Source organism: Homo sapiens, chromosome 15 (genome assembly GCF_000001405.40).
Source record: "Homo sapiens chromosome 15, GRCh38.p14 Primary Assembly".
Classification (NCBI taxonomy): domain Eukaryota; kingdom Metazoa; phylum Chordata; class Mammalia; order Primates; family Hominidae; genus Homo; species Homo sapiens.
This window is the reverse complement of record NC_000015.10, coordinates 42,860,377-42,873,725: the sequence shown is the minus strand read 5'-3', so window position 1 is coordinate 42,873,725 and position 13,349 is coordinate 42,860,377. Positions and strand designations below refer to the sequence as shown.

Below are 13,349 nucleotides of genomic sequence, written 5' to 3'. Positions count from 1 at the left end.
ACTTGCCACTGACTCTTCAGAACTTGCTTATGATACTCACACCAGCATCCTGATATTCCCCAGTTAAGCTAACATATTTATTTTATCAGAGAGAATAGTGCTTGTTGAACTTGCTTAAATTGATTTTTTTTTACTCTTATTTGAATAAATAGATGTATAGTGAATTCTGGGATAGTTTGGTACTAGAGTTCTCTGCCTGCTCTGTGGACCCTGTTAGGTACCTCAGAGAGAATGGTAAGTGGTGGTGAGAGGGCTGGGTGATTTTGTAGTGTTTTTTGTTTTTTTCGTTTTTGAGATGGAGTCTCTCTCTGTCACCCAGGTTGGAATGCAGTGGCAGGATCTTGGCTTACTTCTGCCTCTGCCTCCTGGGTTCAAGCAATTCTCCTGCCTCAGCCTCCTAAGTAGCTGGGATTACAGGCATGTACCACCACGCCTGGCTAATTTTTGTATTTTTTAGTAGAGATGGGGGTTTCACCATGTTGGCCAGGCTGGTCTCGAACTCCTGACTTCAAGTGAGCCGCCCGCCTTGGCCTCCCAAAGTGCTAGGTTTACAGGTGTGAGCCACTGCACTCAGCCAGGATTTCATAGTTTAAAAAGTTTAAAAAGTCTTCCTTAAAATTAAAACAACAAATCTGGTTGTAGACTGGCATTTGTGGGAAGTGATTCTTTCAAATACTGTATTGTTGGTGACATTTCTGATGCTGGCTGTTGACCAAATTTTAAAATTGTTTGTGAGTGAAATAATTTCATTACTTTGTTGTGGATAAACCTGTGGGGAAAGGTTTTGATGTTATTTTCAGGCATATGTTTTCTTCTTGGCATATACATAGTTAATTTAACAATATTTAAATATTTTATCAAAAAACAGATTATAAAATTATACATTTTCTAAATATAAGAGATCAATTGCTTTCAAGTTAGAATCTTCTAGTAATTTAGAGTGTGTGTGTTCTTATTTTCTGTGCAGTTGAGAAAGATTGGGGGTGGGGGCTTTGGAGAAATTTACGATGCCTTGGACATGCTCACCAGGGAAAATGTTGCACTGAAGGTGGAATCAGCTCAACAACCAAAACAAGTTCTGAAAATGGAAGTTGCTGTTTTGAAAAAGCTGCAAGGTAAGCCCTTTGTAGAATATACAATTTATGATTTGTATGTTAATTTATAATTTATTTGTATCTTCCTGAACCTTAATTACATTCTTTAAGTACTAATTGAATGTACTGGTGTCAGCCGGGTATAAATACGCTGAGCATTTTTCTCTTGGAAATTTTATAATGAGTTAGTAGTAGTAGAAGTATGTAATTACTTAGAATAATTGGGCTTTGGGAGTTCTTTTTCATGGAGTAAGGATAAGAGAGTGTGAATTAGCAGAATTTTTACTGCTTCGGAAAGTATTGTCATAAGTCTGCTATTTGCCTTTCTTTTTTAAACTACCAATAACAGATACCTCTGAGTTGTCTCTACTCAAGTCTTTGGATGTTAAATATGTTTTAATCACAGTAAGGAAGCTGCCTTCAAATCACACTGCAGGATGGATTAAAAATAATACTGTTGATTATATGTTGATTCATATTAGCTTCAGTTTCAGAGAATAACTGTTTCTGGCCCTGTCGTCATTTTTGAAGTCCGTTTTACTACTTGGGCCCTATTTGTTTTTATTACAAGAATGAATAATTTTTTTTCTGACATGAATCCAGTGGTATAAAACCCTGAATATATTGCTAGTTTGTGTTCACCTTTGTATTCTCAGCTTAATGACATACTCTCTGATATTACTGATGTTTAAATGTTTGATCTGAAACAAAATTAAATAGGGATGATCATTTTCCTTTGCCCCAAGCGTATCCAAGTTTCTCTACCAGTTGGCTCATTTGATTAGAGAATGATGCCAGTAAAATTATAGATCTGTTTTTATAGTAATTTTTAGCTCAAACTTAGCATCTCCACAACATGGTAAATCAGGAAAACAGTGGATAGATTAACACCTATTGTCAATACTGGAAAAATAAATAATTGGAGAAGAAAGAATAGGTAAAAGGATGGCTCTTTCTTTTTCTGACCTTTTCTATTTTCTCCACATTTCTCTTGAGTTGTTGTTCTCAACTCAGTGGTGTAGAGGCTACAAACAGGTACAGCCAGAGCTACATCTTCCTGGGTTGCACAGATCCCAGGATACCTGTTTTACTATCAGCCAAGCCCATGAAGGGTATGTCAGCATCAGCTTGGTGTGGATAGTGCCACTTCACCTTTCTCCTACTTGGCTCCAAGGAGATGCTTCCAGGTGAGGCAGGATACAGCTTTGCCACCCCTTCAGGAGGTTCTCCTGCTTATTTTGTGTATGGTTTACTCAGGATTCTATTTGATAAAACTTGAAGATCAGTTTAGTACCTTTTATGAATGAGTTAGAGACCCTTGGATGCTAGCTGTCTCCTTTTCTTGTATTTTATTTTTCACGTTATTAACTAATATATTTTTCCTATCTGCTTATAACCACATGACATCCCATTCTTAAGAACCCTTCATTTTCCAAAAATAAATTGATTTTTAATCTTCTGGTCCCTATTTCAGTGAGGTAGTCCTTGACTCTCTTCTCTTGGCTTCCTAACTTATGCCTTCTGCATACTTATTCCTCACAGCTTCATTTTGTTGGGGGTGCTTTGTAATCTGGACCGTTCTGATAACATTTTTATGGAGCTGCTCTTGCTGTCATGTTGGCCTAATGACTTCTTACTGAATGATCCCAATGAAAAGGCTGAATGTAAGGAAAAGGTATTTAACCAGATGCTAACCCTTTATAGGATTTGTTGATTTTTAAATTGATGTTCAATTTTTGATAGCTGGGATAAGGATTTTTTTTTTTTTTTTTGAGACGGAGTCTTGTTCTGTCACCACACTGGAGTACAGTGGCATGATCTCGGCTCACTGCAGCCTCCACCTCTGGGGTTCAAGCGATTCTCCTGCCTCAGCCTCCTGAGTAGCTGGGACTACAGGCATACACCACCACACCCAGCTAATTTTTGTATATTTAGTAGAGATGGGGTTTCACCATGTTGGCCAGGATGGTCTCGATCTCTTGACCTCATGATCTTCCCACCTCGGTCTCCCAAAGTACTGGGATTACAGACATGAGCCACTGCACCTGGCTGCGATTTTTTTTTTTAACAAGATGAAAAGATATTTTATGATGAATTAGCCCACCCCTAATTTTGTTCCTTTTAATAGACCAATTCCTCTTCTCAAAATTCAGATATTGTCTGTTCTCACATTCCCTCAGTTCTCAATTTTCTTTCTCGTAGTCTTTTCTGTACTTAACAACCCTAGATTTTCTCAGTTCAGGCAAAACTCTCATTACTAGTATTTTCCTTTCTCTTTGACCCTAAAGTGTGAAGCCCTTAGCATTTCACCCCATATTTTCTGAGTGACCTTCCCCCATGCTGCTGTGTCAGATTACTCTCTTTTCAAAGTTTTCAGAAATATTCTGGATGTAACCTGCAATTCTCTAATGAATCAAGCTAGACTCTCGAATTTTATTATTATTATTATTTTTTTTTTGTGATGGAGTCTTGCTCTGTTGCCCAGGCTGGAGTGCAGTGGCACAATATCGGCTCACTGCAACCTCCGCCTCCTGGGTTCAAGTGATTCTCCTGCCTCAGCCTCCCAAGTAGCTGGGACTACGGGTGGGTGCCACCATGCCCAGCTAATTTTTTGTATTTTTAGTAGAGATGGGGTTTCACCATGTTGGCCAGGCGAGTAACTCCAGACTTCAGACTGTCCTCCTGTCCTGGCTTTCCAAAGTGTTGGGATTACAGGTGTGAGCCACTACACCTGGCCAAGACTCTTGAATTTTACTTGGTTTTTACAAATGTATTTGAATGTTTTAGCTACTTATAAACTAAATTATCTATTTATAAGCCTATTAGATAGTACTTCTATACCTTATTATTATTATTCTCTAAAGTATTCCTAATAAGTATAGCCCTAAAATTTATTAGGCCTATCCTTTGATTCACAGCATTTTTCAGAGATACATCTCTGAATAAACATTTATGTGTGTCTCTTCGCCCTCTCCATTTGCAGCTCTACTATCTTCATCCTTTGTTTTTCAGTTTATTTGCTTTGAAACTGCAAAGGTGGTCATTGCCATTCTAATCTGTTAGATTCCTTTTTCCTCAACTTTAAATGAATGTTTTGTAATGATATCTACATATCTTCACTTCTCCATTTTCTTTTTTTATTACAAAATTATTTTGTTGTTTTTTTCTCAGTTTTCATGATCTCTTATGCTGTATCTCAACACACCAGGTTTTTTTTTTTTTCTTTTTAATAAGTATAGTTTAGGCCAGGCGTGGTGGCTCATGCCTGTAATCCCAGCACTTCGGGAGGCCAAGGTGGGTGGATCGCCTGAGGTCGGGAATTTGAGACCAGTCTGGGCGACATGGTAAAACCCCATCTCTACTAAAAAATTCAAAATTTAGCCAAGCGTGGTGGCGTGCGCCTGTCATCTCAGCTACCCTGGAGGCTGAGGTATGAGAATCGCTTGAGCCCAGAAGGCGGAGGTTGCAGTGAGCCAAGAAGGCGCCATTGTACTCTAGCTTGGGCAATGGAGCCAGACCCTGTCTCAAATAAAAAAGTATAGATTTGCAGTGCCATTGTAAGAGAAAAAACACTTCTCTCCTTTGATTTCAAATCTGATCACTAGTAATTTCTACAGTAAAATGATGGTTCCTCAGGAACCATCAGTACTTCTGAAAAAGTTAGATTTCCATTCTAGTCTTAATAGAATTTGGTACACATGTAGAATCCTGAAGTAAGACAGGCACATCTTTTATTTATTTATTTATTTATTTATTTATTTATTTATTTTTGAGACAAGGTCTCACTCTGTCGTCCAGGCTGTAGTGCAGTGGCCCAAACACAGCTCACTGCAGCCTCGATCCTGTGGCTCAACCAGTCCTCTGGCCTCAGCCTCCAGAGTAGCTGGGACCACAGGTGTGTGCCACCACACTCAGCTAATTTTTTTTTTTTTTTTTGTAGAGATGTAGAGTCTGGCTTTGTTGCCCAGGCTGGTCTCAAATTCCTGGGCTCAAGCAGTCCTCTTGCCTCGGCCTCCCAGAATGTTGGGATTAAAGGTGTGAACCACCACACCCAGCCTGAGACAGGCAAATATTAAATTTACTTTTTTCCCTAATTTTTAAAAGACTTTTTTAAAAAGAGCAGTTTTAGGTTCACAGCAAAATTGAGAGGAAAGTATAGAGGTATCCTATATATTGCCTGCCCTCACACATGCATGTACTCCCTCAGTATCATCATCCCCACAGCTGTACATTTGTTACAATTGATGAACCTACATTGATACATCATTATCACCCAGATCCCATAGTTTACAATAGGGTTCACTCTTATTGAACATTCTGTGGGCCTGGACGAATGTGTAATGACATATATCCACCATTATGTGTATATAGGTGCTCCTCAACTTATGATGGGGTTATGTCCTGATAAACCCATTTAAGTTGAAAAATTGTAAGTTGAACCATCGTATGTCAGGAACCATCTCTCTCTATTTTTACTGCCCTAAAAATCCTCTGTGCACTGTTTCCCTGCCTCCTAAACTCTGGTAATGACTAATCTTTTTACTTTCTCTTTAATTTTACCTTCTCCAGGTGTCATATATTTAGAATCATACACTATTGGCTTCTTTCACTTAGTAATATGCACTTAAGTTTCCTCCACATCTTTTCATGGCTTGATAGGTCATTTCTTTTTAACATTTAATAATATTCCATTGTCTAGAGGTACCACAGTTCATTTATCCATTCACCTACTGAGGGATATCTTGGTTGCTGTGCAGATTTTTGTGTGGATATAAGTTTTCTACTTGTTTGGGTAAATACCAAAGAGCATTATTGCTGGATTTGATAATAAGAGTATGTTTAGTTTTGTAAGTAACTGCCAAATTTTCTTCCAAAGTGGCTGTATCATTTTGCGTTCTCATCAGCTCATGAATGAGAGTTCCTGTTGTTCCACATCCTCACCAGCATTTGGTATTGTCAGTGTTCTGGATTTTGGCCATCAGATAGGTGTGTAGTGACATCTCATTGTCATTAATTTGCATTTATCTAGTGATGTGTGATATGGAGCGCTTTTTCATGTGCTTATTTGCCATCTGTATATCTTCTTTGGTGGGGTGTCAGAAGTTTTTGGCCCATTTTAAAATCAGGTTATTTGTTTTCTTACTGTTGAGTTTTTAGAATTCTTCAAATATTTGGATATCAGTCTTTTATCATATAGGTCTTTTGCAAATATTTTGAATTTTCTCTATTGATTTTCTATGTTTAATTTGATTGATTTCTGCTCTAATTTTTATTATTTCTTCTCTTCTGCTTTAATTTGCTTTCTGTTTTCTAGTTTCCTAAAGTAAAAACTTTGGTTATTGATTTTAGATCTTTCTTTTCTTTTCTTTTCTTTTTTTTTTTTTTTGAGACGGAGTCTCCCTCTGTCACCCAGGCTGGAGTGCAGTGGTGCGATGTCTCGGCTCACTGCAAGCTCCGCCTCCCAGGTTCACGCCATTCTCTTGCCTCAGCCTCCCTAGTAGCTGGGACTACAGGCGCCTGCCACCATGCCCGGCTAATTTTTTGTATTTTTAGTAGAGACGGGGTTTCACCGTGTTAGCCAGGATGGTCTCGATCTCCTGACCTCGTGATCCGCCCGCCTCGGCCTCTCAAAGTGCTGGGATTACAGGCGTGAGCCACTGCGCCCGGCCTAGATCTTTCTTTTCTAATACATGCACTCAGTGCTATAAATTCCCCTTCAAGCACCTTTTTCAGTGCATCCCAGAAATTTTGATGTTATGTTTTTATTTAGTGTGAAATAGTTTAAAACTTCTTATGATAGTTCTTTGACTCCTGTGTTATTTAGAAGTGCATTGTATTAATCTCCATGTATTTCAGAATTTTTCCAGTTGTCTTTCTAATATGATCTCTAGTTTAATTCCACTGTGTTCTGAGAGCAGACATTGTATGATTTCTATTTTTTTAAGTTTGTTAGGGTATGTTTTATAGCACTCAGAATGTGATCTGTCTTGGTGAATATTCTGTGTGAGCATGAGAATGTGTATTCTGCTGTCATTGGTTTAAGTAGTCTATAGATGTCAGTTATATCTAGTTAATTGATGATATTGTTTAGTTCAGCTGTGTCTTTACTGATTTTCCGGCTGCTGGGTCTGTTCATTTCTGATAGAAGAGTTTTGAAGTCTCCAGCTATAATAGTGCATTCATCTTTCTCCTTACAGTTCTATTGTTTTTTACCTCATGTAGTTTGAAGCTCTGTTGTTAGATGCATGCATGTTTCTAGATATTATGAGACACATAGTATATGGCCTCTTAGAGAATTGACCCCTTTATCATTATGTAATACTCTTCTTTTATTATTATTACTATTATTATTAATTTTCTTGGAGATGTACTCACTAGGTTGTTCAGGCTGGTCCTGAACCCCTGACTTCAGTGATCCTCCTGCCTCAGCCTCCCGAATAGCTGGGGTTACAGGTGCAAGCTACTGTGCTTGGCTATGATGCCCTTCTTTATACTTGTTCATTTTTCTTGACATACAGCCTGCTCTGTCAAATTAATATAGCAATATTTACTTTCTTTTGAGTATTAGTATGGTATATAATTTACATCCATTTACTTTATTTGTATTTACATACTTAAAGTGAGTTTGTTGTAGACAACATACAATTGGGTTTTGTTTTTTGATTTAGTCTGTCCAGTCTCTTTTATTTGGTACATTTAGACCATTGATGTTTGAAGTGATTGTTTGTATAGGTAGATTAATATCTACCATTTTTGTTAATTGTTTTCTATCTGTTGTCTTGTTCTTTGTTTCTTTTCTTTTCTTTTTTGAAATGGAGTCTCACTCTGTCACCCAGGCTAGAGTACAGCGGTGTGATCATAGCTAACTGCAGCTTTGAACTCCTGGGCTCAAGTGATCCTCTTGCTTTGGCTTCCTGAGTAACTGGGACTACAGGTCTGTGCTGCCATGCCTAGCTAAGTTTTAAAAAGTTGATGGATACAGAGTCTCGCTATGTTGCCCAGACCGGCCCCCAACTCCTGGCCTCAGGTGATCCTCCTGCCTCAGCCTCACAAAGTGCTGGGATTACAAGGGTGTGCACGACTGTGCCCAGCCTGTTGTTGGTTTTTTTTTTTTTTTTAGTATTATTATTTTTGTCTTCCATTCTTTTTCTGTCTTTTGTAGTTTTTGTTTTTAGATAGAGTCTCACTCTGTCGCCCAGGCTGGAGTGCCAGTGACGCAGTCTCGGCTCACTGCAACCTCTCCTCCTGGGCTCAAGTGATCCTCCCACCTCAGCCTCCCAAGTAGTTGAGACTACAGATGCGTGCCACTGTGCCCATCTAATTTTTGTGTTTTTAGTAGAGACAGGGTTTCACCATGTTGGCTAGGCTGGTTTCATGTTGGCCAGGCTGGTCTAACTCCTGACCTCCATCAATTGACCCACCTCGACCGTCCATAGTACTGGGATTACAGCCACTGTGCCTGGCCTTCTCTCCTTTCTTAACATATCAATTATACTTCTGTTTTTACTTTTTTTAGTGATTGCCCTAGATTTTGCAATACAGATTTATAACTAATCCAAGTCCACTTTCAAATAACATTATACCACTTCAAAGGTAATGTGAAGATATTTTCTCGTAATAAAATGATCCTAATTTCTCCCTCCTGTCCTTTATATCATTGTAGTCATCATATATATTCAGCATACATAAGCATGTATATATATTTATATGCACAAAATATATACATAAGCATACATAATTAAGTACATTGTTGCTATTGTTATTTTGAGCAAACTGTTATCTCTTAGATCAATTAAGCATAAGAAAAATAATTTATTATGTTGCCTTCACTTTTTCCTTCTTCACATCTGGGTTTCTACCCTATATTACTTTCCTTCTCTCCAAAGAACTTTTAACATGTCTTGTAAGAGAAGTCTACTGCCAAAAAATTACCTCAATTTTTGTCTGAGAAAGTCTATTTCTCCTTCATTTCTGAAGGATAATTTTGGGGGGTACAGAATCTATGTTGGTGAGTTTTTCTCTGAACACTTTTTTTTTCTTTTTTTTTGAGATGGAGTTTCGTTCTTATTGCCTAGGCTGGGGTGCAGTGGCGCTATCTCAGCTCACTGCAAGCTTTGCCTCCCGGGTTCAAGGGATTCTCCTGCCTCAGCCTCCCGAGTATTTGCGATTACAGGCATGTGCCACCATGCCTGGCTAATTTTGTATTTTTAGCAGATATGGGGTTTTTCCATGTTGGTCAGGCTGGTTTTGAACTCCTGACTTCAGGTGATCTGCCTGCTTTGGCCTCCCAAAGTGCTGGGATTATAGGCGTTAGCCACCACGCCTGGCCTTCTCTGAACACTTTAATATTTCACTTTGTCCTTTGCCTGTTTTAAAATAGGGTGATTTGTTTTTTATTGTTCATTTGTTTAAGTTTCTTATAAATTCTGATTATTAGACCTTTGGAGGATACATAGTTTGCAAATAATTTCTCCCATTCTGTAGGTTGTCTATTTACTCTGTTGGTAGTTTCTAGGTTGCTTTGTGGAAGTTCTTTAGTTCAAATAGGTCCCACCTGTCAATTTTTGTTATCGTTGCGTTACTTCTGGGGACTTAGCCAAAATGCCTTTGCCAAGGCCAATGTCAACAAAGGTATTTCCTAGGTTTTCTTTTAGGATTTTTTACTTTGAAGGCTTACATTTAAGTCTTTAATTCATCTTGAGTTAATTTTTGTATGTGGTGAAAGATAGGGGTCTAGTTTCAATTTTCTGCATATGGCCAGCAAGTTATCCCAGCACCATTTATTGAATAGGGAGGCCTTTCCACATTTCTTGCTCTTGTTGACTTTTGTCAAAGATCAGTTGGTTATAGGTGTGTGGTTTTATTTCTGGGTTCTCTAACCTGTTCCATTGGTCTGTGTGTCTGTTTTTGTGCCAGTACCATGCTGTTTTGTTTGTATTGTTGCTTTATACTATAGTTTTAAGTTGGGTAATGTGATGCTTTGTTCTTTTTTGCTTAAGACTGCTTTGGATATTTGGGTTCTTTTTTGGTTCCATATGAATTTTAGAATTTTAGAATTTTTTTTTCTAATTCTGTGAAAAATGACATTGGTAGTTTGATAGGAGTAGTGTTGAATCTGCAAATTGCTTTGGGTAGTATGGCCATTTTAACAATACTGATTCTTCCAGTCCATGAGCATGGAATGTTTTAACATTTATTTATGTCATTCCTGATTTCTTTCAGCAATGTTTTATAGTTCTCCTTGTAGAGATCTTTTACCTCCTGGCTTAGCTGTATTCCTAGGTGTTTCATTTATTTTTCATTCTTTTTTTGGTGGCTATTTAAACAGGCTTGTGTTCTTGATTTGACTCTCAGCAAGAACATTATTGGTCTATAGAAATGCTACTGATTTTTGTACGTTGGTTTTGTATACTGAAACTTCACTGAAGTTTATCAGTTCTAGGGGCCTTTTGGTGGAATCTTTAGGGTGTTCTAGGTGTAGAATCATGTTGTTAGTGAAGAGAGATAGTTTGACTTCTTCTTTTCCTATTTGGATGCTTTTTATTTCTTTCTGTTGCCTGATTCCTCTTGCTGGGATTTCCAATACTATGTTGAGTAGGAGTGGTAAGAGTAGGCATCCTTGTCTTATTCCAGTTCTCATGGGAAATGATTCTAGCTTTTACCCATTCAGTATGATGTTGGCTGTGGGTTTGTCATAGATGGCTATTATTTTTATTAATTAATTAATTTATTTGTTTATTTTTGCAACAGAGTTTTGCTCCTGTTGCCCAGGCTGGAGTGTAATGGTGCGATCTCGGATTACTGCAACCTCTGCCTCCTTGGTTCAAGCGATTCTCCAGCTTCAGCCTCCCGAGTAGCTGGGATTACAGGCATGCGCCACCACGCCTGGCTAATTTTGTATTTTTAGTAGAGACAGGGTTTCTTCATGTTGGTCAGGCTGATCTGGAACTCCCGACTTCAGGTCATCTGCCTGCTTCCGCCTCCCAAAGTGCTGGGATTACAGGTGTGAGCCACCGCGCCTGGCCATAGATGGCTATTATTTTGAGATATGTTCTTTTGATGCCTAGTCTGTTGAGGGTATTTATCATGAAGGAATGTTGGATTTTATTGAAAAATTTTTTTTGCATCTAATTGAGATGACTATATGGTTTTTGTTTTTAATTCTGTTTATGTGGTGAATCACATTTTTTTATTTGCATGTGTTGAACCAACTGTGCATCCCAAGAATAAAGCCTACTTGATCATGGTGAATTAACTTTTGGATGTGCTGCTGGATTTGGTTTGCTAGTATTTTGTTGAGGATTTTTGTGTCTGTGTTCATCATGGATATTGGCCCGAAGTTTTCTCTTTTTATTGTGTTTCTGCCAAATTTTGGTATCAGGCTAATGCAGGTTTCATAGAATGAATTAGGGAGGAGCCACTCATCCTCATTTTTTTTTTAAATAGTTTCAGTCGGATTGATACCAGTTCTTTGTGCAGCTGGTAGAATTGGGCTGTGAATCTGTCTGGTTCAGAGCTTTTTTTGGTTGGTAGGTTTTTTATTACTGATTCAATTTTGAGTCTTGTTGTTGGTCTGTTCAGGTTTTCACTTTCTTCCTGGTTTAATATTAGGAGTTTGTGTGTTTCCAGGAATGTATCCATGTCCTCTAGATTTTCTAGTTTGTGTGCTTAGAGGTGTTCATAATAACTTCGGAGGATCTTTTGTACTTCCGTGGGATCAGTTATCATCCTTGTCATTTCTGATTGTGCTTATTTGGATCTTCTCTTTTTCCCCCTTTGGTAATGTAGCTAGTGCTGTCAATCTTGTTTATTCTTTTGACAAATTAGCTCTTTATTTCATTGATCATTTGTATGGATTTTTGTGTCTCAATTTTGTTCAATTCTTCTCTGATTTTATTTATTTATTTTCTTTTGCTAGCTTTGGGATTAGTTTGTTCTCTTTTTTTTTCTATTCTATGCAAGATATTAGATTGTTAATTTTAGATCTTTCTGACTTCTTGATAAAGGCATTTAGTGCTACAAACTTTCCTCTTAACATTGCTTTAACTGCATCCCAAATATTTTGGTAAGTTGTGTCTCTATTTTTATTAATTTCAATGATTTTTTTATTTCTGCCTTAATTTCATTGTTCACACATGAGTTATTCAGGACTAGGTTAACTTCCATGTATTTTTGTAGTTTTGATAGATCTTTTTGGTATTGATTTCTATTTTTATTGCACTGTGGTCTGAGAGTGCTAGGTTTTGATTTTTTGAATTTATTGAGACTTGCTGTATGACCTAGCATGTGGCCAATCTTAGAATATGTTCCATGTGCAGATAAGAAGAATGTATATTCTGTGGTTATTGGGTGGAGTATTCTGTAGATGTCTATTAGGTCTAATTGGTTGAGTGTCGAGTTTAAGTCCAGAATTTCTTTGTTAGTTTTCTGCCTTGATGATTTGTCTAATGCTGTCAATGGGCTGTTGAAGTCTCCCACTATTATTGTGGGGCTAAGTCTTTTCATAGGTCAAGAAGAACTTGTTTTATGAATTTGGATGCTTCAATATTGGGTGCATATGTATTTAGGATAGTTAAGTCTTACTGCATTGAACCTGTTATCATTATATAATACCCTTCTTTGTCCTTCTTGATTGTTGTTGGTTTAAATTCTGTTTTGTCTGATATAAGAATACCCAGCTTTAGGCCAGGCTCAGTGGCTCATCCCTGTAATCCCAGCACTTTGGGAGGCTGAGGTGGGTGGATCACCTGAGGTCAGGACTTCAAGACCAGCCTGGCCAACGTGGTGAAACCCCATCTCTACTAGAAATACAAAAAGTTAGCCAGGCATGGTGGTGCACTTGGGAGGCTGAGGCAGGAGAATCGCTTGAACCTGGGAAGCGGAGGTTGCAGTGAGCTGAGATCCGCCATTACACTCCAGCCTGGGCAACAGGAGTGTAAAGGCATTTAGTGTAGCACTAAATGCCATCTCAAAAAAAAAAAAAAAAAAAAAGAAAGAATACCCCAGCTAAGGTTTAATTTTTTGTGGAGATGGGGTCTCACTATTGCCTGAACTGAACTCCTGGGCTCAAGGAGTTCAGTTGGTCTTGAGCTCCTGGGCTCAAGCGATCCAACCCCCTTGACTTCCCAAAGTGTTGGGATACAGGGATGAGCTACTGTGCCTGGCTAATTTTTGTTGTTGTTGTTGTTGTTCCTCTATAGGTAAGGCTTGTTTTTCTTTTCCCTCTAGCTTCATTCAGAATTTTTTCTTTTTTTT

At 38.1% G+C, this 13,349-nt stretch overlaps 1 protein-coding gene across 8 annotated transcripts in view; it reads left to right on the top strand.

Moving 5' to 3' along the window:
- Positions 1–13,349, top strand: part of TTBK2 (tau tubulin kinase 2) — a 182,271-nt gene that overhangs the window by 47,275 nt on the left and 121,647 nt on the right. For 4 of the 8 annotated variants that reach the window (XM_047432189.1, NM_173500.4, XM_047432191.1 and 1 more), the window contains exon 3: positions 968–1,115. The exons of 3 other annotated variants lie outside the window; for them this stretch is intronic. In XM_047432189.1, the coding sequence (XP_047288145.1) occupies positions 968–1,115 (148 nt within the window). Of the gene's footprint in view, positions 1–967; positions 1,116–2,108; positions 2,282–13,349 lie in introns of those variants that run through there. One more of the 8 variants, XM_006720403.5, reaches the window with a different exon arrangement.